This window comes from Homo sapiens, chromosome 3 (genome assembly GCF_000001405.40).
Source record: "Homo sapiens chromosome 3, GRCh38.p14 Primary Assembly".
NCBI lineage: Eukaryota > Metazoa > Chordata > Mammalia > Primates > Hominidae > Homo > Homo sapiens.
In genome coordinates this window covers 153,117,658-153,142,906 of record NC_000003.12, presented here as the reverse complement: position 1 = coordinate 153,142,906, position 25,249 = coordinate 153,117,658, and the positions used below count along the sequence as shown (strand labels likewise).

At 40.8% G+C, this 25,249-nt stretch overlaps 1 pseudogene, besides 3 other annotated features; it reads left to right on the top strand.

Moving 5' to 3' along the window:
* Nucleotides 3,639-4,838: an enhancer, noted in NCBI's record as "P300/CBP strongly-dependent group 1 enhancer chr3:152855858-152857057 (GRCh37/hg19 assembly coordinates)". NCBI's record gives its function as "activates an origin of replication core promoter dependent on BRD2, BRD4, P300/CBP, MED14 and CDK7 cofactors, with strong dependence on P300/CBP, by STARR-seq in HCT116 cells {active_cell/tissue: HCT116}" and the evidence as "EXISTENCE:reporter gene assay evidence [ECO:0000049][PMID:35650434]".
* Nucleotides 3,886-3,995: an enhancer, noted in NCBI's record as "active region_20714". NCBI's record gives its function as "activates an Ori minimal core promoter by ATAC-STARR-seq in GM12878 lymphoblastoid cells {active_cell/tissue: GM12878}" and the evidence as "EXISTENCE:reporter gene assay evidence [ECO:0000049][PMID:35858748]".
* Nucleotides 4,016-4,145: an enhancer, noted in NCBI's record as "active region_20713". NCBI's record gives its function as "activates an Ori minimal core promoter by ATAC-STARR-seq in GM12878 lymphoblastoid cells {active_cell/tissue: GM12878}" and the evidence as "EXISTENCE:reporter gene assay evidence [ECO:0000049][PMID:35858748]".
* KIAA1328P1 (KIAA1328 pseudogene 1) lies at nucleotides 13,267-13,837 on the top strand (annotated as a pseudogene).

The window sequence follows — 25,249 nt, the reverse complement described above, 5'->3', positions numbered from 1 at the left end:
AGCCCACATACAGTCCACATGGCCCTTCCCAGGAAACATTTGTCACCCCCTCCTATAGCCCATTTCACACAATATATCTTGTTACATTGCACTTATCAAATCTGTAATTATGTTTCTTTTTTGTTTGTTTGAGACAGAGTCTTACTCTGTCACGCAGGCTAGGGTGCAGTGGCACAATCTCGGCTCACTGCAACTTCTGGCTCCCAGGCTGAAGTGATTCCATGCCTCAGCCTCCTAAGTAGCCAGTACTACAGGCACATGCCACCACACCTGGCTAATTTTTGTATTTTTTAGTAGAGATGGGTTTTTGCCATGTTGGCCAAGCTGGTCTTGAACTTCTAACACCAGGTATTCACCCAAAGTGGTAGGATTACAGGCATGAGCCACCATGCCTGGCCTGTAATTATGTTTTTTATTTATTAATTTGCTTGCTCTCCTATATGCCTAATGAGGACAGGGACATTGTCTATATCCCCAGTGTCCAGATCAGTAAATACCTGCATGTACTAAGAGGAGCTTATAAAATATTTATTGAATGACTATTAAAAAATAATTGGACAACAGCCAGTGGGATGAAGCCCCTTACCTTGTTTCTATATCCCTCTTTATAGGTGAGGCAGAATGAGGGAAACCCATTTCTTATTAGAATTGATAGCAACAATTCACAAGATTATAAACTACACACAGAAGGCATTTTCACAAAATAGGATCATCACTACTTAAGGATATTAATTTTTATTTGAGCTCTCTAATTTTTGGATGGCTTTATCTAGCTTTGAAAACATGATGATGCCAGGCCCATACAGAAGTTCGGTGATTCCACTGTGGTTTTACTTCTGAATCAGATACAAGCTCCCAGGGAAGAATGGATCTCTGAAAGTTCCATCCCCACAAAAGTTCTTTCCCCTCTAGTGATGCTTTTCATTGATTATATTCGCTGCTCACTTGGAGGCTTGACTCCACACTTTCTTTATTATTTAGAGTTCATCTGTCTCCCAGCAATGCCAGTGGTCTTGAGTTTTTACCCATTAGCAATTGAACCCTAGGAATTATCTATAGTAAACTGTACATATATGCATCTTTTAGCCCAGAGGAAGATTCAGGAGAATTCCTACATAAATCTAAGTTTCCAAAGCCATTTTCTTTCCACTTCTAATGGGGGTAAGCTGTCACACTTGGTAATGAGAATGTGCTCAGGTGCCCTTCAGTGCCCTACACTCAGAATACACAGTGACTTGTCCTGTTTTAAGCTACAGCGTTCCAGAGAGGAGTGATCTTGATGTGAAGAGAAATTACCATTCCAGAATTACAGCACAGTGTTTCGCTATTACAGCTAAGAGTCACCATTTTGCAAGGCAATTCCATGAAGAGAAAAATTATGTTATCATTCAAATAATGAGATAAATATAGAGTTTGCCCTGCTGTGGTGAGACCTGGCTAATAGGTTGAGGTCTTTGGTCTGGAGCTGAGTTGGGGAGCAGGTCATGCTAAAAAAAAAAAAAAAAAAAAAAAAAAAAGAGCAAGAGAATCTAATAAACCTGAGTGATTTATTCATTAAAACATGTGGAATAGGCGGGGTGCGGTGGCTCATGCCTGTAATCCCAGCACTTTGGGAGGCCGAGGCATGTGGATCACCTGAGCTCAGGAGTTCGAGACCAGCCTGACCGATAAAAGACCAGTATTTTAGTAGCTGTCTCTACTAAAAATACAAAAATTAGGTGGGCATGGTGGTGGGCACCTGTAATCTCAGCTACTCGGGAGGCTGAGGCAGGAGAATCACTTGAACCCAGGAGGTGGAGGTTGCAGTGAGCCAAGATTGTGCCACTGCACTCCAGCCTGGGCGACAGAGCGAGACTCCGACTCAAAAAAAAAAAAATGTGTAATATTAGTGAACTACCCTAGTGCTGTTACGTGACTCATTGCCTGTGGTTTAACAAATGCCCTGTGGCTTCTATTGATCTTTGCTGCATGTTTCTAAAACCATATTTGTTTTATCTGTGCATAGCAGCATCTGAATACAAAGGGCATGTCTGTCTCCAATGTTCAATAGAGAAGGGAGGTTCACCAATAGTCCCTCTAAAAAGGTGACTGGTTATAAATTGTAATAGTCTTTAGGGCCTCTAAAATGAATTTCATGTGTGCATATAATAGAAACCAGACCATCCCCAAAATATTATCCACTTTTCTTAAAAGAAATCTGTCCAGTCATTTTTGAATGATGAGTAACTAAGAAAATATTTGATTTGTTTATATATATTACATGACCTTAGAATTTTATAGCCTAAAGCTCATAAAAAGACATGTATGTGCACTCAGGGGTAGAGTGATTCACTTCACATATTTACACTTTAGCAGAATGTGTACGTCTTGTGAGATGTACAGTACTGAGAACTCTGGGTTTGATTTTAGGGAAGGCTATGACTTTCTCTTTAGATGCTGGATGTTTCCTCTTGGTAGACAGTGTGAATTGTTTTTTCTCTTTTTCTTTAGCATCCAGGAAATAAATTCAAAACTCCACTTTAGTTCAAATTTTTAGTTGTTTAAAATGCGAAGGGCTATCTTTTTTTTTTTTTTTTTTTTTTTTTTCAGACGGAGTCTCGCTCTGTCGCCCAGGCTGGAGTCCAGTGACTGCAATCTCGGCTCACTGCAAGTTTCGCCTCCTGGGTTCATGTCATTCTCCTGCCTCAGCCTCCCAAGTAGCTGGGACTACAGGTGCCCGCCACCAAGGCTGACTAATTTTGTGTATTTTTAGTAGAGACGGGGTTTCACCGTGTTAGCCAGGATGGTCTCGATCTCCTGACCTCGTGATCCACCCACTTCAGCCTCCCAAAGTGCTGGGATTACAGGCGTGAGCCACCAAGCCCGGCCTTTTTTTTTTGAAACTGAGTCTCTCTGTCACCTAGGCCGGAGTGCAGTGGTGCCATCTTGGCTCAGTGCAACCTCCGCCTCCCAGGTTCAAGCGATTCTCCTGCCTCAGCCTCCCCAGTAGCTGGGATTACAGGGGCCCGCCACCACGCCCAGCTAATTTTTGTATTTTTAGTAGAGACGGGTTTTCGCCGTGTTGGCCAGGCTGGTCTCGAACTCCTGACCTCAGGTGATCCACCTGCCTCGGCCTCCCAAAATGCTGGCATTACAGGCGTGAGCCACCACGCCCGGCCCAAGGGCTGCCAGTCTATGCATTCTAACATTTCCCCTTGAGTTTCCTGGACAGTGCACAGATTACTTCACCTTACTAGGCCTCAGAGTTCTTATCAGTACAATAAAAGCATCAGGAAGCATCCATACTTTCCAAATTATTTTGGAGCAGCACTCGAAGGGCCTCCTCTAGCAGGAGAAGCTTCAGGCTGAAGGTGGGCTTCAGGGTGGACTGAGGACTGAAGGTGGACTGCTAACTCCCTCCAATTCAAAAGCAATGACAACACCATTTTAGTTAGTTTGTACCCTAAGAAAAGACCTCTCTGGAACACAATGTTAGTAGAGCATGAGAACTCTTCCGCCTCATAATTTCCGAGGCCTTTTCAGCTTTATAAGGTTTTAGACACAGATTAGAATCAAAACACTGGAATTACGATTTAGGTTCTTCCACTAACTTGCTGTGTAATGTAGGCATGTCACTCCTCTTCAGGCCTTCAATTTTTTTCATCTATAAATTTAGAGAATTGAATGCAGTGATTTTGAAGGTTGCCTCTGCTTTAAAATGCTTTCTTTATTCTCTATCATCCACTTTCCCAGGTATCTGCACACAATGGCCTCAGGTAGAGAGATAAATGGGACTTAAAGAGAGGAAGGTTACACTGCTTCCTCCTTTGTTTTCTTTTCTGTCGCTTGATGTTATGACTGAACCCATTTCAAGAAAAGTAAATAAAAGAAAGGATAAGTGGAGAATTGGATAAGCAGAGACATAACATTTAAATATGGCATCGTTGTGAAACTGTTTTATTTGCTCCAGGAAAGATTCATGAAAGTAACCTGTGAGGTTCTGACAAAGGACTGAGTCAGACTAAGATTACCTCACAACATTGCAATCTTACTTGTTTATAGCCAAACTGACTGCTGACCTGACAGAACATGTTGGGGATTTTCCTCCCTGCCAGCTTCCGCCATGGCAATGCCGAGTCATGCTTTCCCTACCCACTGGTTTCTGGAACACACTGCACTTAGTATCATAGGAAATGGGCAGGGTAGTTTCACCCACTGAGGTTCTTTACAGCAGTTTCCATTAATGAGACTTATGCACTGTATCCTTGGGCAACATTCTCATAAATTATGATGTGGTATCAAAATGTTATCCTAAATTATGTGCATACCTTCATTTCCTTGCAATTCCTGTATTCTATTCCCATCATGACAAGGAGGGGAACATTTTGGCCCCAGATAAAGGTTACCAAAGGAATGCTATTGACTCAAGGGTTCCCTTAAGAGCCCTAGAACTACTTAAGGGTATGTACTAGCATGTACTGGCCAAGGAAAGAGGTCATGCTTTAGAAGGGAGGTCTGTAGCCATTACCCATATTGGCTATTACCTGGTCCACTCACATTCCACACCCACTGGCATTTAGAGTTAGATTTCAGGCCTCTGAAGTTTTTTCCAAAGATATTTAGTCCTCCGCTTCTCCAATCACTTCCTGTTTGCTTTAGGATCTGTCCCTAGAATGTTTTTCTTTTAAGAATTGTTTGGCCAGGCGAGGTGGCTCACGCCTGTAATCCCAATACTTTGGGAGGCTGAGGCTGGAGGATCACCTGAGGTCAGGAGTTTGAGACCAGCCTGGCCAATATGGTGAAACCCCATCTCACTAAAAATACAAAAATTAGCCAAGTGTGGTGGCGGGCGCCTGTAACCCCAGCTACTGAGGCAGGAGAATCGCTTGAATCCAGGAGGCGGAGGCTGCAGTGAGTTGAGATCGTGCCATTGCACTCCAGCCTGGGTGAAAAGAGTGAAACTCCATCTCAAAAAAAAAAGAAAGAAGAAAAAAAAAAGAATTTCTTAACTTACTTACATTTCCTGCCTCTCCTGAAACTTCATCACACTCTCTTTCGCATAAGACTTTACCCCCACTTTCTTACCACCTGGAGTAATAGGAAGTGAGCATTTGTTGCATGATATCAAATCTCACCACTCTTCTGTTAGTTCCTCAATCATACAACAGAATCCTTTTATAATATTGGTGAAAGATAGACTATTACAGTCACATATTCTTCACATGGCAAATGGGGAAGGGGTCCTTTTCATAGGCATCAGGTATTTGGGCAGTAACTACAGAGGTGGCCTCTGGGAGAGAAGTAGTTCAATGGAGCTTGTAAACATTAATCACCAAGTCAAAAAAAAAAAAAACAGAATAATTTCTTCCTCCTGTATACACATACAGACTCCAGATGGTCGTGTTAAGCCTTTGTGACATTTTATCTCCCTCAAGATTGTTCTTAAAGATTTTCATTCAAATGTATTCAACTAATTACTTATTCAACTAATTTCAGCCTAGTGGTTTAACCAAGGGGCTCACTGAACCTAGTTTTAATTTTTCTTATTTTTTAATTTTCTTAAAAAAAATTTTTTAGACTGGGTGCAGTGGCTCACACCTGTAATGTCAGCACTTTGGGAGGCTGAGGCGGGCGGATCACCTGAGGGCAGGAGTTCAAGACCAGCCTGACCAACATGGAGAAACCTTGTATCTACTAAAAAATACAAAATTAGCTGGGCATGGTGGTGCATGCCTGTAATCCCAGCTACTGGGGAGGCTGAGGCAGGAGAATCGCTTGAACCCGGGAGGCGGAGATTGCAGTGAGCCGAAATGGCGCCATTGCACTCCAGCCTGGGCAACAAGAGTGAAACTGGTATAAAAAAAAAAAATTCTGTTTATAACTTCACTAGGACTAGTTTTAATTTTAAAAGAGAAAATTATCAGGTTGAATACATGCAAACTTTTACTTTCTTAAAATAACTAAAAAAATTAATTGTAGATTTTTTTTCTTTTTTTTTTTGAGACAGAGGCTCACTTACTGCCCAGGCTGGAGTGCAGTGGTGCGATCTCAGCTCACTGCAACCTCTGCTTCTCAGGTTCAAGCAATTCTCAGGCCTCAGCCTCCCGAGTAGCTTGGATTACAGATGTGCATCACCATGCGTGGCTAATTTTTGCATTTTTAGTGGATACGGGGTTTTGCCATGTTCACCAGGCTCATTTTGAACTCCTGGCTTCAAGTGATCTGCCCACCTTGGCCTCCCAAAGTGCTGGGATTACAGGTGTGAGCCACTTCGACCAGCCCTAATTGTAGATATTACATCTTCTCCATAACATCAACTTAACCTGAAGTATTTCTAGAAAATTACAAGAATAAACTTTGAAGTTAGAGAATTCTGTGAAAAACAATGAAAAAGAATCAAGTTGGCTTTAATCTTGTTTTAATTTAATTTAGGGGTAAGTTTGCTATTGAAAAAGTAGAACTTAGGAAAAGTACTAGTACTTTAAAGAGGAAGCAATACAAAGAAAAATATGCTATGTATAATTTATTTACAAATTTATTTACAAATTTATTTACAAATATTTTCCCCTTAACTGCTTACATGAAAATAACAAGTGGCCAGGCGCGGTGGCTCACACCTGTAGTTCCAGCACTTTGGGAGGCCAAGGCAGGTGGATCACCTGAGGTCAGGAGTTTGAGACTACCCTGGCCAACACGGTGAAACCCCGTCTCTACTACAGATATAAAAATCAGCCCAGCATGGTGGCACATGCCTGTAGTCCCAGCTACTGGGGAGGCTGAGGCAGGAGAACCATTTGAACTTGGGAGGCAGAGGCTGCAGTGAGCTGAGATTGCACCATTGCACTCCAGCCTGGGTAACAGAGTGAGACTCTGTCTCAAAAATAAATAAATAAATATATAACAAGTATTTTGCTGGAATACTCTAACTCATGGATATGCAACATAAACTGTTATTTTGAGGAGACTGATTAGAGCAATAATGAAACTCCAGTCTCCCACAAAAAAAAGTAAATAAATTTATTTTGAATGCATATCATCATATTAATATTTATTTAGAAGAAAGGAGCCCACAATTTGGAAGACCTTTGTCCATAAGACTTCTAAATGGTTTCTGGCATCATCCAATCCTGCATTAGCTAATAGGTTGGTCAGAAGACACTTTCTAGTAGCACTTCCAAATAGTATGCTCTAAATTGAAAGGCAAAGCTTGCTTAGACAACAGACATAAAAAGACAGTTTGGGGAACACAAGATGCTAAATGGTTCCTCACACCAACACATACTACAGTATTTAGCACTACTGCTGGTCCTGAAGCATACTCAACAATTGCACATTAAATAGGTGTTGTGGCTGGGGGCAATGGCTCACACCTGTAATCCCAACACTTTGGGAGGCTGAGGCTTGAAGATCACTTGAGATCAGGAGTTCAGTACTAGCCTGGGCAACATAGTAAGAGTCCGTCTCTACAAAAAAAAATTTTTTTAATTAGCTGGCAGTGGTGATGAGTACCTTTAGTCCTAGCAACTCAGGAAGCTGAGGTGGGGGGATAGCTTGAACCCAGGAATTAGAGGTTACAGTGAGCTGTGATCACGCTACTGCACTCCAGCCTGGGTGACAGAGCCAAACCAGTGAATGAATTGGCTCATCTCACTGCTGGGACTGGTGAACTTTATAGACTCTTGACTTATTAAATGTTACCCACAATACTTCCCTTTTTCACTAATTTATTCCTCCAAGAGATCTTTAATTCCTCTACCTCCCTAGATCATGTTACTAGTTATTACTTTCCTAAACATGCTTCTCCGTTTGCGTGACTCCAAACTATCCTCGACTTTCATTCCTCTCTAGATTTGTTCTTTGCCACAAAGCCCAATTCTTCTCCCTGAGATTTAACTACAGCACTATGGGAAATAGATGATAGCTATAAGGTAAGGGGGAGAAGGGGGAGACAGGTACATGGGCATTAAAATCAGGGAGCAAAACAGCAAGACAGCAAGTTAGAAAGACAATTTAAATGCATATCATTTTTCTAGTTTAGGTAAAATCCACGTTGTATGGCCAAGGTTACCTTTTACAGGAAAATTTCCCAAAATTAATCCATTCTGCAATGGGATTAAGACTCGAATGAGATTAAAGCACTTTCCTAGTTGAGATCAGGATGAGTCAGTTAAAATACAACCATTGCATCCAGGAAATATACTTCAAAACAGAGAAGTTCACTTTGGGCAATGGGACTGCCTGAGATAAGCATAAGGAAAGCTTCTGGGTGCTGGATGTGTTCTGTATCTTTATCCAGGTGATGGCTACATGGGTATATACTTACGTAAAATCTGTCAAGCTTTACATTTAAGACCAGGCACTTTACTGTAAAAAAACACCTATATTTCAATAAAAAATAAATAAGACCCGGGCTTGGTGATGTGCACTTGTAGTCCCAGCTACCCAGGAGGCTGAGAAGGAAAGATCACTTGAGCCCAGGAGTCCTGAGCTGTAGTGTGCTTTGTGGAGTAGGTGTCCACACTAAGTGGAGAATCAATATGGTGACCTTCTGGGAGCAAGGGACCACCAGGTTGACTAATGAAAAGTGAATAGGGTCGGGTGTGGTGGCTCACGCCTGTAATCCCAGCACTTTGGGAGGCCGAGACGAGCGAATCACATGAGGCCAGGAGTTTGAGACCAGCCTAAACAACATGGTGAAACCCTGTCTCTATTAAAAATACAAAAATTAGCTGGGTGTGGTGGTGCATGCCTGTAGTCCCAGCTACTCAGGAGGCTGAGGCAGGAGAATCGCTGGAACCCAGGAGGCGGAGGTTGCAGTGAGCCGAGATCACACCACTGGACTCCAGCCTGGGCGACAGAGAGAGACTCCATCTCAAAAAAAAAAAAAAAAAAGAATTTAGGTAAAACAGAACCTGAGAGCAATAGTTTGGTAGCATTTCCCAGCAATTTGTAAGGTGACGTGATGGTCTCTGAGGGCCATAATGTCTAGAAGTAGCAAGGAGAGGGGCAGTCCACCACAGGATCTTATTTATTTATTTACTTTTATTTTTGAGACAGAGTCTTGCCCTGTTGCCCAGGCTGGAGTGCAGTGGCGCAATCTTGGCTCACTGCAACCTCTGCCTCCCGGGTTCAAGTGATTCTCCTGTCTCAGCCTCCAGAGTAGCTGGAATTACAGGGGTGTGCCACCATGCCTGGCTAATTTTTGTATTTTTAGTAGAGATGGGGTTTCACCATGTTCACCAGGCTAGTCTTGAATCCCTGATTTCAAGTGATCCGCTTGCCTTGGCCTCCCAAAGTGCTGGGATTACAGGCATGAGCCGCTGCGCCTGGCCTAGGATCTTATTTTTTTCATTGCACATGCACCATTCTAACCCCTAATTCTAAATTAATAAATTGGCCGGGAACGGTGGCTCATGCCTGTAATCCCAGCACTTTGGGAGGCCGAGGTGGGCGGATCACCTGAAGCTGGGAGTTTGAGACTAGCCTGACCAACATGGAGAAATCTCGTCTCTACTAAAAATACAAAATTAGCCGGGCATGGTAGCGCATGCCTGTAATCCCAGCTACTCGGGAGGCAGAGGCAGGAGAATCACTTGAACCTGGGAGGTGGAGGTTGTGGTGAGCTGAGATCATGCCACTGCACTCCAACCTGGTTGACAAGAGCGAAACTCTGCCTCAAAAAAAATATTAATTGATTAATTAATTTTCTGGTGTATATATTCAGCCTCTTTTGCATCTGAATGGCTTAATGAACCAGTTTTCTGCATGTCCTTCCCACTTTATGAGGCAATCACCAAAGATCTGGAGTAACCAGGCTAATTGTAATTTCTGGACCCATAATGACCCTATTGACCTTCAGGTTCTAGTGTCCTATCAGCCTTCCTAATGTCAAAGCTAAGGGTAGAAATCCCCTGGTTGACAATTTGTGGGTAATGGGGTGGAGGAGAGGTTATATACAGTATTGTTTCTTTCCATCTTGAAAGGGTGATAACAGACAAAACTAAGCTGGTATTTAAAATACTACTCTCTAAATTGACGTTTTTGCTTTTGTGAAGTAATATTGCTGCAGACACTAAAATGTGTTTCAAAACACTTACAATACAACATTTGGTAGGTTGGTGTTGCCCAGTAAAAGGAATATAAAGAAAAGCATCTGAAAATATGTGAAGATGGACTTCATTTTAATATGTTTAAAATGCAATGGTGGCCGGGCATGGTGGCTCAAGCCTGTAATCCCAGCACTTTGGGAGGCCGAGGCGGGCAGATCACTTGAGGCCAGAAGTTCAAGATCAACTGGGGCAGCAAAGTGAGACCCCATGTCTCCAAAAAAAAAAAAAAAAAAATTAGCCAGGAGACCAGCCTGGGCAACATGGTGAAACCCTGTCTCTACAAAAAATACAAAAATTAGCCAGGCATTGTGGTGCGCACCTGTGGTCCCACCTATTTAGGGGGTTGAGGTGGGAGGATCGCTTGAAGCCAGGAGGTAGACAGAAGCTGCCATGAACCGAGATCACACCACTGCACTCCAGCCTGGGTGACAGAGCCAGACCCTGTCTCAAAAAAAAAAAAAAAAAAATTAGCCAAGAGTGGTGGTATGCACTTCCTTGCTACTTGGGAGGCTGAGGCAGGCGGATCACTTGAGCCTAGGAGTTTGAGGCTGCAGTGAGCTATAATTGCACCACACCACTGCACTCCAACTTAGGCAACAGAGCAAGACCCCATCTTAAAAAAGGAAAGAGGCTGGGCGCAGTGGCTCACTCCTGTAATCCCAGCACTTTGGGAGGGCAAGGTGGGTGGATCATGAGGTCAGGAGATCGAGACCATCCTGACTAACACGGTGAAACCCTGTCTCTACTAAAAATACAAAAAATGATCCGGGCATGGTGGTGGGCGCCTGTAGTCCCAGCTACTCGGGAGGCTGAGGCAGGAGAATGGCGTGAACCCAGGAGGCAGAGCTTGCAGTGAGCCCAGATCGTGCCACTGCACTCCAGCCTGGGTGACAGAGTGAGACTCTGTCTCAAAAAAAAAAAAAAAAAAGGAAAGAAAAATAAAATGTCAAGGGAAAAGTGTTCTAGACCTTTACTTAGTGGGAAATGCAATATTTACAGGCATGCTGTACATATTTGCTGACTGGCTGAAAGGGAAATCAGTTCTGAATGTTCTGACATGCCCCAAAAATGGAAAACACTCATCCATATGTAGCCTAGGCAGTCATTTATATGTGAAGAGGTAATATGGATTTAAGAATAATTATCCCAAATTTCACAGCCTCCAGAGAAGCCTACATGTCACAATCGCTAAAAGCAGATACTTATCATTTAAACAATCTTCCTTGCTATTCTATTTTGGGAAAGGCATTCCTGAAAAATATGTAAGAAGCTAATAAGGCCGGGTGCGGTGGCTCACGCCTGTAATCCCAGCACTTTGGGAGGCCGAGGCGGGTGGATCACAAGGTCAGGGGATCGAGACCATCCTGGCTAACACAGTGAAACCCCATCTCTAATAAAAATACAAAATAAATTAGCCGGGCATGGTGGCGGGTGCCTGTAGTCCCAGCTACTCAGGAGGCAGAGGCAGGAGAATGGCATGAACCCAGGAGGCGGAGCTTGCAGTGAGCCGAGATTGCGCCACTGCACTCCAGGCTGGGTGACAGAGCAAGACTCCATCTCAAAAAAAAAAAAAAAAAAGGCTAATAAAAGGAAAGATTTATATTTAATAATTTGCATTCCAAATGTAAAATAGATACAAAAATTATCATGAAATATTTTTTCCTAGCACATTTCAATAACTTTGCTAAATTGTAATGACGAAAATGTTTTTTAAATCATGCAATATCAAGAAATTATATGTGAGACAGAAATGCACTGAAGAGAAGTCTTCAGTGCTGTCGTCAATCACAGGAAAGCCAGAGCTCGAGTAAAACTAAAAAGGCTCTGATCATTTTGAGTATGTCACAGATTTTTGTTTTCTAAAATTCATCAATGATGTCACAAAGCAAACAAAAGCAAGTTCTGAGCTGAGGTTTTCTCTATTTAAGGAGTCTGATTTGGGCATAAGGCTCTGTCTCCACTCCATCTATCATCAGTCTAGTGAACCAATTCAATTTAATGAGCATTTATCACTGAAATTTTGTGGCCCTTAAGACCATGCTATAGAAACTACTTAAAAAGAAGTAAAAACAATGTGAGTCATAATTTTAGTATGCTTAAAGATGAGTAAGACAGCTCAGGGGGGAACTGAAAACTTCCTTGTTGTAACTTCTTGGTAATTAAGATTTAGTGAAAGCTCTGAAAATATCTGAGGGATACTCATGTTGAGGTTCCTTAGTATTCCTTATCAAAGTGTTAGAATCTAATATAGTTTTATTTATAGAGTACTCCCACTGAAACTACTAATAGAAAACTATGTGTAAAAAGGTTGTAAGTCATGGACTGATAGTCAAAGTGAGAGCAAATCTTGCCATTCACAGTGCTTTTTCAACAAGAACATTTTTACATATATCTAAACGTACAAATTTTTCTTAAAAAAATCTGGAGAGCTTCAAAATGATTTTACTGTGTTTCAGTTGGGCCTAAGCAAATGTTGATTTTAAGACTTTAAAGATGGGCAAGTGCGTTAGTTTTCACCCACACTTCCCAGTGGGATAGTAAAACATGGCTTTGTATAATTCTTAGAATTTTAACTCTATATAAGTTTCATAAAAATACATTTACTGCCTAAAATAAAATTTTAACCAAGACACTTTAATAAACTTAAAAAAAGAATTTCCAGCTGGGTGCAGTGGCTTACACCTGTAATCTCAGTGATTTGGAAGGCTGAGACGGATGATTGCTTGAGCCATGAACTTAAGACCAGACTGGACAACATAGCAAGACCCTATCACTAAATAAAAAAAATCAAAATATTATCGGAGTGTGGTGATGCATGCCTGTAGTCTTAGCTACTCAGGAGGCTGAGGCAGAAGGATTGTTTGAGGCCCAAGAGGTCAAGCCTGCAGTGAGCCGTAATCACACCACTACACTACAGCCTGTGCAACAAGCAAGACCCTGTTTCAAAAACAAAAAATTCTATCACTCAACATTACTTTTCTTGACACAGGATCCTTGAAAACAATACTATGGAATACTATGTTGCTAATAGTTTTTATTATTTGTGTGTGTGTGTGTGTGTATAAAACATATAAAATGTTTTTAAACTTCTGCTTTCAGAGTTCAATAAGGAAGTGTAGTTTTCTTTAAAAATTTCTTGAAACAAATGAAAATAGAAATAAAACATGTCGTTTTCAAGGTGGCGGGCCCCTCCCGCCCCGGCGCCACGGCGTTCTGGAGCCGGGACTTTTCTGAAGAAGAACAATCCGTAGTGTACGTTCAAGGAATTTCTACTGAAGGAAATGTCAGATCAAGACACATGCTGATGAGTCCAAAAGCTGATGTTAAACTTAAGACTTCCAGGGCGACTGATGCTTCAATCTCCATGGAGTCTTTAAAAGGTGCAGGAGATTCAGTAGATGAACAGAGTTCCCGCAGGGGAGAAATAAAGAGTGCATCATTGAAGGATTTATGTCTTGAAGACAAAAGATGCATTGCAAACTTAATTAAAGAACTGGCCAGAGTAAATGAGGAAAAGGAAGTGACAGAGGAAAGATTGAAAGCTGAGCAGGAGTCATTTGAGAAGAAGATCAGGCAGTTAGAAGAACAGAATGAACTGATCATCAAAGAAAGGGAAGCTCTTCAGCTACAGTATAGAGAATGCCAAGAACTTCTAAGCCTGTATCAGAAATATTTATCAGAAGAACAAGAGAAGCTCACCATGTCTCTCTCAGAACTTGGTGCTGCTAGAATGCAGGAACAGCAGCTATATAACAATCCATACATCTGACAGAGGACTAATATCCAGAATCCACGAGGAACTCAAACAAATTAGCAAGAAAAATATAAACAATCTCATCATAAAGTGGGCTAAGGACATGAATAGACAGTGTTCAAAAGAGATACACAAATGGGTAACAAACATATGAAAAAATGCTCAGCGTCACTAATGATCAGGGAAACGCAAATCAAAACCACAATGAGATACCACCTTACTCCTGCAAGAATGGCCATAATCACAAAATAATGGATGTTGGTGTGGATGTGGTGAAAAGAAAACACTTCTACACTGTTGGTGGGAATGTAAAGTAGTACAACCACTATGGAAAACAGTGTGGCAATTCCTTAAAGAACTAAAGGTAGAACTACTATTTGATCCAGCAATCCCCACTACTGGGTATCTACCCACAGGAAAAGAAGTCATTATACAAAAAAGATACTTGCACGTGCATGTTTATAGTAGCACAATTCACAATTGCAAAAATATGGAACCAGCCCAAATGCCCATCAGTCAATGAGTGGATAAAGAAATTGTAGTATATATATATATATGATGGAATACTACTCAGCCATAAAAAGGAACAAATTAATGGCATTTGCAGTGACCTGGATGGAACTGGAGACTATTGTTCTAAGTGAAGTAACTCAGGAATGAAAAACCAAATATTGTATGTTCTCACTTATAAATGGTGGCTAAGCTATGAGGATGCAAAGGCATAAGAATGATAAAATGGACTTTGGGGACCTAGGGGAAAGGGTGGGAGGGGAGTGAGGGATAAAAGACTACAAATTGGGTTCAGCATATACTGTTTGGGTGATGGGTGCACCAAAATCTCACAAATCACCACTAAAGCACTTACTCATGTAACCAAATACCACCTGTTTCCCCAAAACCTATGGAAATAAAAAATTTTGAAGATGATATAAAATTCAAAAAAAGAGGTGGGCAAAGAACATGAGTAGACATTTCTCAAAAGAAGACCGACAGATGGCCAACAGGTGTATGGAAAAGTGCTCAGCATTACTAATCATCAGAGAAATGCAAATCAAAACTAGAGTGTCATACCATCTTACCTTAGTCAGAATAGCTAATATTAAAAAAAAACCAACAAATAGCAGATGTTGGCAAGGATGCAGAGAAAAGGGAACTCTTACACTGTTGGTGGGAATGTAAAGTAGTACAGCCACTAAGGAACATAGTATGGAGGTTCCTCATAAAACTAAAAATAGAATTACTATTTGATCCAGTAATCCCACCACTGGGTCTCTACTCAAAGGAAAAGAAATCAATATATCAAAGGAATACATGTGTTCCCATGTTGATTATAGCACTATTCACAAAAGCAAAGATACTGGAATCAACCTAAGCTTTCATCAATAGATGAATGGGTAAAGAAAATGTAGTATATCTACAATGGAATACTATTCAGCTATAAAAAAGAATGAAATCATGTCATTTCCAGTAACGTGGATGGAACTGGAAGTCATTATCTTAAGTGAAATAAGGTAGGCAAAAAAAGAAAAATATCGCATCATCTTCTCACTTATGTGTGGGAGCCAAAAAATTTGATCATATGCAAGTAGAGAGCAGAAGGATAAGAGACTGCGAATGGTGAGTGGAGGGGAGGAGGGAGCATGACGAGAAATTGGTTAAAGGGTACAATACAGTAAGTTAGAAGGAATAAATTCAGTGTTTCAGAGCAGAGTAAGGTGAGTATAGTTAACAAAAATGTATTGTAAACAGGTGAAGGATACCCTAAATACCATGACTTGAACATTAGGCATTATATACACGTAATAAAATATCACATGTATGCCATAAATTTGTACAAATAAAAAAAATAGTTCTTAAAAAAAAAGAAGGAAAGAAAACATATCAGCCGGACAAGCCTGTAATCCCAGCACTTTGGGAGGCCAAGGCGGGTGGATCACCTGAGGTCAGGAGTTTGAGACCAGCCTGACCAACATGGCAAAACCCTGTCTCTACTAAAAATACAAAAAATTAGCTGGGTGTGGTGTAGGACGCCTGTAATCCCAGCCTCCAGAGGCTGATGCAGGAGAATCGCTTGAACCCGGGAGGCAGAGGCTGTAGTGAGCCAATATCACGCCATTGCACTCCAGCCTGGGCATCAACTGTGAAACTCTGTCTAAAAAAATAAATAAATAAAAAATAAAATAAAACATATCAAAATCTATGTGATAAAGCAAAAGCAGTACTAAGAGGGAAGTTTATAGCAATAAACAGCCCATCAAAAAAGCAGAACAACTTCAAATAAGCAACCTAATGATGCACCTCAAAGAAATAGAAAAGCGAGTATAAAATGATCAAACCCAAAATTAGTAGAAGGCAAGAAAAAATGAGGATCAGAGCAAAAATAAATGAAACTGAAACTAAAAAAGTAATACAGAATACCAACAAAATGAAAAGATGATTTTTTTCAAAAGATAAAGTTGACAAACTTTTAGCTAGACTAAGAAAAAAAGAAAACCCAAACAAATAAAATCAGAAATGGAAAAGGGATCATAACAACTAATGCTGCAGACATACAAAGAATCATTCAGAGACTATAATGAACAACTATATGCCAACACATTGGAAAACCTGGAATAAATGGATAAATTTCTGGACACATACAATCTGCCAAGATTGAACCATAATGAAACAGAAAAACCTTAACAGACCAGTAACAAGCTGGGTGTGGTGGCGGGTGCCTGTAGTCCCAGCTACTCCAGAGGCAGATGCAGGAGAATGGTGTGAACCCGGGAGGCTGAGCTTGCAGTGAGCCGAGATCGCACCACTGCACTCCAGCCTGGGCAACAGAGTGAGACTCCATCTCAAAAAAAAAAAAAAAAGAAAAGAAAAAAAGTCTCTTAAAAAAAACTCAGGATTTGATGGCATCACTGTTAAATTCTACCAAACATTTAAAGAACAAATGCCAGTTCTATCAAACGCTTCAGAAAAACTGAAGAGAACGGAATACTTCCAAACTCATTCTGAAGCCAGCATTGCCCTGATACCAAAACTAGACGATGACACAACAAAAAAAACTACAAGCCAATATCACTAATGAAAATAGGTAGAAAAATCCTTAACAAAATAATAGCAAACCAAATTCAACAACACATTAAAAAGATGATTCACCATGATCAAATGGGAATCATCCCAGGGATGCAAAGATGGTTCAACATATGCAAATCAATAAATCTAATACATCATATTAGCATAACCAAAAACAAAAACCATATGATTATTTCAATACAAGCTGAAAAACCATTCAATAAAATTCAACATCCCTTTATGATAAAACACCCTCATCAAAATAGGCATAGACAGACTATACCTCTAAATAATAAAGGTCATAGATAACAAACGCATGGCCAACATCATACTGATTGGGGGAAAACTGAAAACTTTTCCTGTAAGATCTGGAACAAGACAAGGATGCACTTTCACCACTTTCATTCAACACAGTACTGGAAGTCCTGGCCAGAGCAATTAAGCAAGAGAAAGAAATAAAGGGTCTCAAAATAGAAAAGAAAGAAGTCAAATTAGCCTCATATGACATGATCTTATATTTAGAAAAGCTTAAAGACACCACCAAAAAACTGTTAGGGTTGATAAACAACTGATAAACAAATTTAGTAAAATTGCAGGATACAAAATCAACACACAAAAATTAATGTCATTTATATATGCCACCAGTGAACACTCTTGAAAAAGAAAGCAGAAAAGCTATTTCTAATAGCTGCAAAGAACATAAAATACTTAGCAATCAATCTAATCAAAGATGTGAAAGATCCATACAAGCCAGACGTGGCGGCTCACGCCTGTAATCCCAGCACATCATGAGGCTGAGGCAGGTGGATCACAAGGTCAGCAGATCAAGACCATCCTGGCTAACATGGTGAAACCCAGTCTGTACTAAAAATACAAAAAATTAGCCATGTGTGGTGGCACACACCTGTAGTCCCAGCTACTCGGGAGGCTGAGGCAGGAGAATCACTTGAAGCCAGGAGACAGAGGTTGCAGTAAGCCGAGATCACACCACTGCACTCCAGCCTGGATGACAGAGCAAGGCTCTGTCAAAAAAAAAAAAAAATCCATACAAGGAAAATTATAAAACATGGATGAAAAAAATTAAAGAGAACACAAAAAAATGGAAAGATTTTCCATGCCTATAGAATGAAAGAATTAACATTGTTAAAATGACAATACTATCCAAGGCATTTTACAGACTCAGTGTAATCCCTATCAAAATGTCAATGATATTCTGCACAAAATTAGAAAAAACAATCCTAAAATTTATATAAAACTACAAAAGACCTTGAATAGCCAAAGTAATCCTGAGTAAAAAGAACAAAGCTGGAAGCATCACACTACCTGACTTCAAAATATACTACAAAGCTATCATAACCAAATCAACATGGCACTGGCATAAAAACAGAGATGTAAACCAATGGAACAGAATTAGAAACCCTGATATAAATTTGCGCATTTATAGTCAACTCATTTTTGACGAAGTTGCCAAGAACATACAATGAGGAAAGGGCAGTCTCCAATCAATAGTGTTGGGAAAACTGGATAATCATATGCAGAAGAATGAAACTAGACCCCTATCTCTCACCATACACAAAAAACAGTCAAAATGGATTAAAGACTTAACTCTAAGACCTGAAATTATAAAACTACTAGAAGAAAATATTGGGAAAACTCTCCAGGACATTGTTCTGGGGAAAGATTGTGTGTGTGTTTGTGTGACCTCAAAGGCACAAATAGACAAATGGGATTATATCAAGCTAAAAATCTCCTGCACAGCAAAGAAAACAAGCAACAAAGTGAAGAGGAAGTCCTAGCGAGAGGAATCAGGCAAGATAAAGAAATAAAAGGCATCCAAATAGGAAAATAAGTCAAATTATCTCTTCGATGATGATGTAATTCTGTAACTAAAAAACCCTAGGCCTGTTGGAGTGGCTCACGCCTGTAATCCCAACACTTTTGGGGAGGCCAAGGCAGGTGGATCACCTGAGGTCAGGAGTTCGAGACCAGCTTGGCCAACATGGTGAAACCCCATCTCTACTAAAAATACAAAATTAGCTGGGTGTGGTGGTGCACGCCTGTAATCCTAGCTACTTGGATTGCTGAGGCAGGAGAATCGCTTGAACCTGGGAAGCAGAGATTGCAGTGAGCTGAGATTGCACCATTGCACTCCAGCCTGGGGTACAAGAGCAAAACTTCATCTCAAAAAAAAAAAAAAAAGAAAACAGAAAACCCTAAAGACTGTGTCAAAAGGCACCTAGAATTCATAAATGACTTCAATAAAGTTTCAGGATACAAAATCAATGTACAAAAATGGTAGCATTTATTTATTTATTTATTTATTTATTTTTATTTTTTCATTTTTTGAGATGGAGTCTCACTGTGTCACCCAGGCTGGAGTGCAGTGGTTAGGTCTCAGTTCACTGCAACCTCCACCTCCTGGGTTCACACCATTCTCCTGCCTCAGCCTCCTGAGTAGCTGGGATTACAGGCACACGCCACCATGGCCAGCTAATTTTTGTATTTTTAGTAGAGATGGGGTTTCACCATGTTGGTCAGGCTGGTCTCGAACTCCTGACCTCATGATCTGCCCACCTCGGCCTCCCAGAGTGCTGGGATTAAAGGTGTGAGCCACCACACCCAGCCTTTTTTTTTTTTTTTTTAATTTTTTGAGACGGAACCTTGCTCTGTTGCTCAGGCTGGAGTGCAGTAGCATGATCTTGGCTCACTGCAACCTCTGCCTCCTGGGTTCAAGTGATTCTCCTGCCTCAGCCTTCCTGAGTAGATGGGACTACAGGCACGTGCCACTACACCCAGCTAATTTTTGTTATTTTAAGTGGAGACGGTGTTTCACCATGTTGGCCAGGCTGGTCTCAAACTCTTGACCTCAGGTGATCTGCCCACCTTGGCCTCCCAAAGTTCTGGGATTACCGGCGTGAGCCACCATGCCCAGCCAAATGGTAGCATTTCTATACACAAATAACATTCGAGCTGACAGAGAAATCAAGAATGCAGTTGTCATTTAGATTGTCATTTATAACATTATAAGCCTTTATAACAGCCTCACACAAAAAAGAAATATCTAGGAATACATCTAAGCAATAAGGTGAAAGATCTCTACAAGGAATGCTGCAAAACACTGCTGAAAGAAATCAGAGTTGACACAAACAAATGTTAAAACATTTCATGCTTATGGATTGGAAGAATCAATATTGTTAAAATGGCCATATTGCTCAAAGCAATCTACAGATTCAATGCTATTCCTATCAAGCTACCAATGCTATTTTTCACAGAATTAGAAAAACTATTCTAAAATTAATATGGAACCATAAAGCCAGAATAGCCAAAGCAATCCTAAGCAAAAAGAACAAAGTCGGAGGCATCACATTTCCAGATTTCAAAATATACTATAAAGCTACATAACCAAAACAGCATGGTACTGATACAAAAACAGACACATAGACTAATGAAACAGAATAGAGAATCCAGAAATAAAGCCACAAGCTTGCAACCATCTGATCTCTGACAAAGTCAACAAAAATAAGCCCTGAGGAAAGGACTCCCTATTAAATAAATGGTGCTGGGGTAACTGGCTAGCCACATGCAGAAGAATGAAACTGGACCCTTACCTTTCTACCATACACAAAAATTAACTACCATATACAAAAATTAATTCAAAATGAATCAAAGATTTAAATATAAGACCTCAAACTATAAAAATTCTAGAAAAAAACCTAGGAAATACCATTCTGGACATGGGCCTTGGCAACTTATAACTAAGTCTTCAAAAACAATTGCAACAAAAACAAAAATTGACAAATGGGACCTCATTAAACTAATGAGCTTCTGCACAGCAAAACAAACTATCAGAATGGGAGAAAATATTCACAAACTATGCATCTGACAAAGGTCTAATATCCAGAATATAGAACAAATTTAAATCAACAAGCAAAAAACAAACGATCCCATTAAAAAGTGAGCAAAAGATATGAACAGACGCTTCCCAAAAGAAGACATACGGATGGCCAACAAACATCTGAAAAAATGTTCTACATCACTAATCATCGGAGAAATGCAAACCAAAGTCACAATGAGATATCATCTCACCCCAGTTTGAATGACTTTTATCAAAAAGACAGGGAATTGGCTGGGTGAGGTGGCTCACGCCTGTAATCCCACCACTTTGGGAGGCTGAGGCGGGTGGATCACCTGAGGTCAGGAATTTGAGACCAGCCTGGCCAACATGACCAAACCCAGTCTCTACTAAAAATACAAAAATTAGCCAGTCATGGTGGCCTGTGCCTGTAATCCCAGCTACTCTCGGGGCTGAGGCAGGAGAATTGCTTGAACCAAGGAGGTGGAGGTTTCAGTGAGCCAAGGTAATGCCACTGCACTCCAGCCTGGGTGACAGAGCGAGACTCTGTCTCAAAAAATAAAGAAAGAAAGAAATAGACAAGGAATTAACAAGTGCTGGTGAAGATGTGAAGAAAGTGGAACCCTCATACAGTTGGCAGGAATGTAAATTAGGACAGACACTATGGAGAACAGGATGGGGATTCCTCAAAAAACTAAATACAGAGCTACCATGTGATCCAGCAATCCCACTGCTGGGTATATATCCAAAAGAAAGGAAATCAGTGTAATGAAGAGATATCTGCACTCCTGTGTTTTGTTTTTGGTTTTGTGTTTGTTTTTAATTTTTTAATTTGTAATTTTTGTGGGTACATAGTAGGCGTATGTATTTATGAGGTACATGAGATATTTTGAAACAGGCATGCAATGTATAATAATCACATAATAAAGAATGAGGTATCTATCCCCTCAAGCATCTATCCTTTGTATTAGAAACAATTCAGGCCAGGCACAGTGGCTCACGCCTGTAATCCCAGCACTTTGGGAGGCCGAGGCGGGTGGATCTCTTGAGGTCAGGAGTTGAAGACCAGCTTGGCCAACATGGTGAAACCCCATCTCTACTAAAGATACAAAAATTAGCCAGGCATAGTGGTGTGCACCTGCAATCCCAGTTACTCAGGAGACTGAGGCAGGAGAATAGCTTGAACCCAGGAGGTGGAGGTTGCAGTGAGCCAAGATTGTGCCACTGCACTCCAGTTTGGGTGGCAGAGCTAGACTCCATCTCAAAAAAAATAAACTCCATCCCAAAAAAAATAAACTCTTGAGATTTTTCTGAGTCCTAAACCCTTTAATTTACCATACTTAAAAGTACACATATGGCTGGGAACAGTGGCTCAGACTACAGTCCCTGCTACTCGGGAGGCAAGGTGGGAGGATTGCTTGAGCCCAGCAGTTGAAGGCTGCAGTGAACCCCATTGAGCTATGATCATGCCACTGCACTCCAGCCTGGGCAACAGAGCAAGACCATGTCTCTAAAATCAAACAAAACCTCACATACACATAACCTACATTGTCCTAATACTCTTAACTCAAAAAGAACAGAATCAGAGTCATAGAGGATTTATAGCGTAATTCAATTTCAGCTTTATCCTTTTTAAGAAATGAACAAATGGCTGGGCCCACTGTGGAAAGAGAACGGCATTTCTGTTGCCAAAGAGTGTGGAGAAAGAAGGGTGAATATAAAAGAGTAAGAAGTGTAGAATATGATGTAATACAGACTAAATGTCTAGTTTTTCCAAATTAGAGAAATGAAGAAAATGAATTTAATTTTGTTTATATATTTCTATTCTATATAGACTTTCTGTCAAATATTATTGATTGGTATTAAATAACAATTGACTATTGAATCATAGTAATATGTCTTTCTGATGAAACTGGGTCTGTTTTTTTTTTTTTTTCTTTTTTGAGCCAGGGTCTCACTCTGTCACCCAGGCTAGAGGTGCAGTGGCATGATCTCGGCTCACTGCAACCTCTGCCTCCTAGGTTCAAGTGATTCTCGTGCCTCAGCTTCCTGAGTAGCTGGGACTACAGGCACATGCCACCATGCCCGGCTAATTTTTGAATTTTTAGTAGAGACGGGGTTTCACCGTGTTGGCCAGGCTGGTCTGGAACTCCTGGCTTCAAGTGATCTGCCTGCCTTGGCTTCCCAAAGTGCTAAGATTATAGGCATGAGCCATGGCGCCTGGTCCATACTTTTCTTGAAGTATATATCATATACAGATGAAAGGGCAGTAACTTTAAATGTACAGCTAGATGAAATATATGTATAATTCCACCCATGAAACTACTATCCATAACAAGATAATGAAAAGCTCCGTCAGGCTCCTTCCCAGTGATTAACTAGACATCATTATTCCCTATAATAACTATATTCTTACTTTTATCACCAAAGATTAGTTTTTCATAGTCACTTTTCAAAACAAAATCTCAGAATCTCATAATAACCTTTATTTGTTGCTTCATGGTTATATGAATTAGAAGTGATTATATCATAAGCTTACGAAAAACTGTGTACTAAAAAATCCTCTCCTTGTAAGATGCTGCTTCCTTGTCAGGCTGAGGATATAAAGATAACAATGAAGATTATTGAAAGTCCATACCTGTCTATAGGAAGAAATGAAAATGATATCTTCTTTAAATGTCCATCTTGTATTCTTTGTTTTTTGGTTTTTTTCTTTTGAGACAGAGTCTCGCTCTGTCGCTTGGAGTACAGTGGTGTGATTTCGGTTCACTGCAACCTCTGCCTCCTGGGTTCAAGCAATTCCCTTGCCTCAGCCTCCCGAGGAGCTGGGACTACAGGCATTCACCACCACACCTGGCTAATTTGTTTTGTATTTTTAGTAGAGACGGGGGTTTCACAGTGTTGGCCACACTGGTCTTGAACTCCTGACCTCAAGTGATCCTCCCGCCTCAGCCTCCCAAAGTGCTGGGATTATAGACATGAGCTAACATCCTAATCAACATCTTCTATACTTTGAGATCCAAACCAAGTAGGTGTTATTCATCATGTTCCAAATCATGACAAAAATAAAATTAGAAAGAACTGCCCTGTACAATGCCAACTGCCCATGCGTTTGTTTTAAACAACAACAAATCCAAAACCCAGACATGAAAACGTACCAAAGAGATGAAAGCATTAATAATTTTTAACAATCTTAAACTCTGTTAAGAATTTTTTAAAAGGCCGGGCGCGGTGGCTCACACCTGTAATCCCAACACTTTGGGAGGCCAAGGCAGGCGGATCACGAGGTCAGGAGATCAAGACCATCCTGGCTAACACAGTGAAACTCCATCTCTACTAAAAACACAAAAAAATAGCCGAGCGTGGTGGTGGACGCCTGTAGTCCTAGCTACTCGGGAGGCTGAGGCAGGAGAATGGCGTGAACCCAGGAGGTGGAGCTTGCAGTGAGCCGAGATCACGTCACTGCACTCCAGAGCCTGGGCAACAGAGCAAGACTCCATCTCAAAAAAAAAAAAAGAAAAGAAAAAAGAATTTTTTGTTGTTGTTTTGAAATGACTTCACTCTTTGCTTAACCTTCATACATTAAGGTTGATTCACTGTATATTTTATGTGCAGATGCACTTTGTTGATACTTGTGTGGTTGAGAGAGCACTGTCATTGCTGATGCAGAAAATCTATTTTTGAATATTCAGAAGAAAAATTCACCAGATATATCCTTATCACACTTTAAAAAGAGATCCATTTTATGTTTTTGCTAGGGAAGAGAAAAGTTAAAAATAAAATACTCAGGGGATGGGTGTGGTGGCTCACGCCTGTAATCCCAGCACTTTGGGAGGCCGTGGTGGGTGGATCACCTGAGGTCAGGAGTTCAAGACCAGCCTGGCTAACATGGTGAAACCCCATTTCTACTAAAAATACAAAAAATTAGCCAGGCATGGTGGCCACACCTGTAATCCCAGCTACTAGGGAGGCTGAGGCAGGAGAATCGCTTGAACCCAGAGGCAGAGGTTGCAGTGAGCCAAAATTATGCCATTGCACTCCAGTGTGGGCAACAGGAGTAAAACTCCTTCTCAAAAAAATAATAATAATAATAAAATAAAATACTCAGTAAAAGTTTAGTGTTTCACCTAAGCCTTTGTAGATAGCCAGCAATTTAGAGACAGTTAACTAAGAATTTCATGTTGAATTAGAAATTAAAAATAGGCCGGGCGCAGTGGCTCACACCTGTAATCCCAACATTTTGGGAGGCCAAGGCGGGCAGATTACATGAGGTCGGGAGTTCAAGACCAGTCTGTCCAATATGGATAAACCCCTTCTCTACTAAAAATACAAAATTAGCCAGATGTGGTGGCGCATGCCTGTAATCCTAGCTACTCAGGAGGCTGAGGCAGGAGAATTGCTTGAACCCGGGAGGCGGAGGTTGCAATGAGCTGAGATCAGGCCATTGCACTCCAGTCTGGGCAACAAGAGTGAAACTCCGTCTCAAAAAAA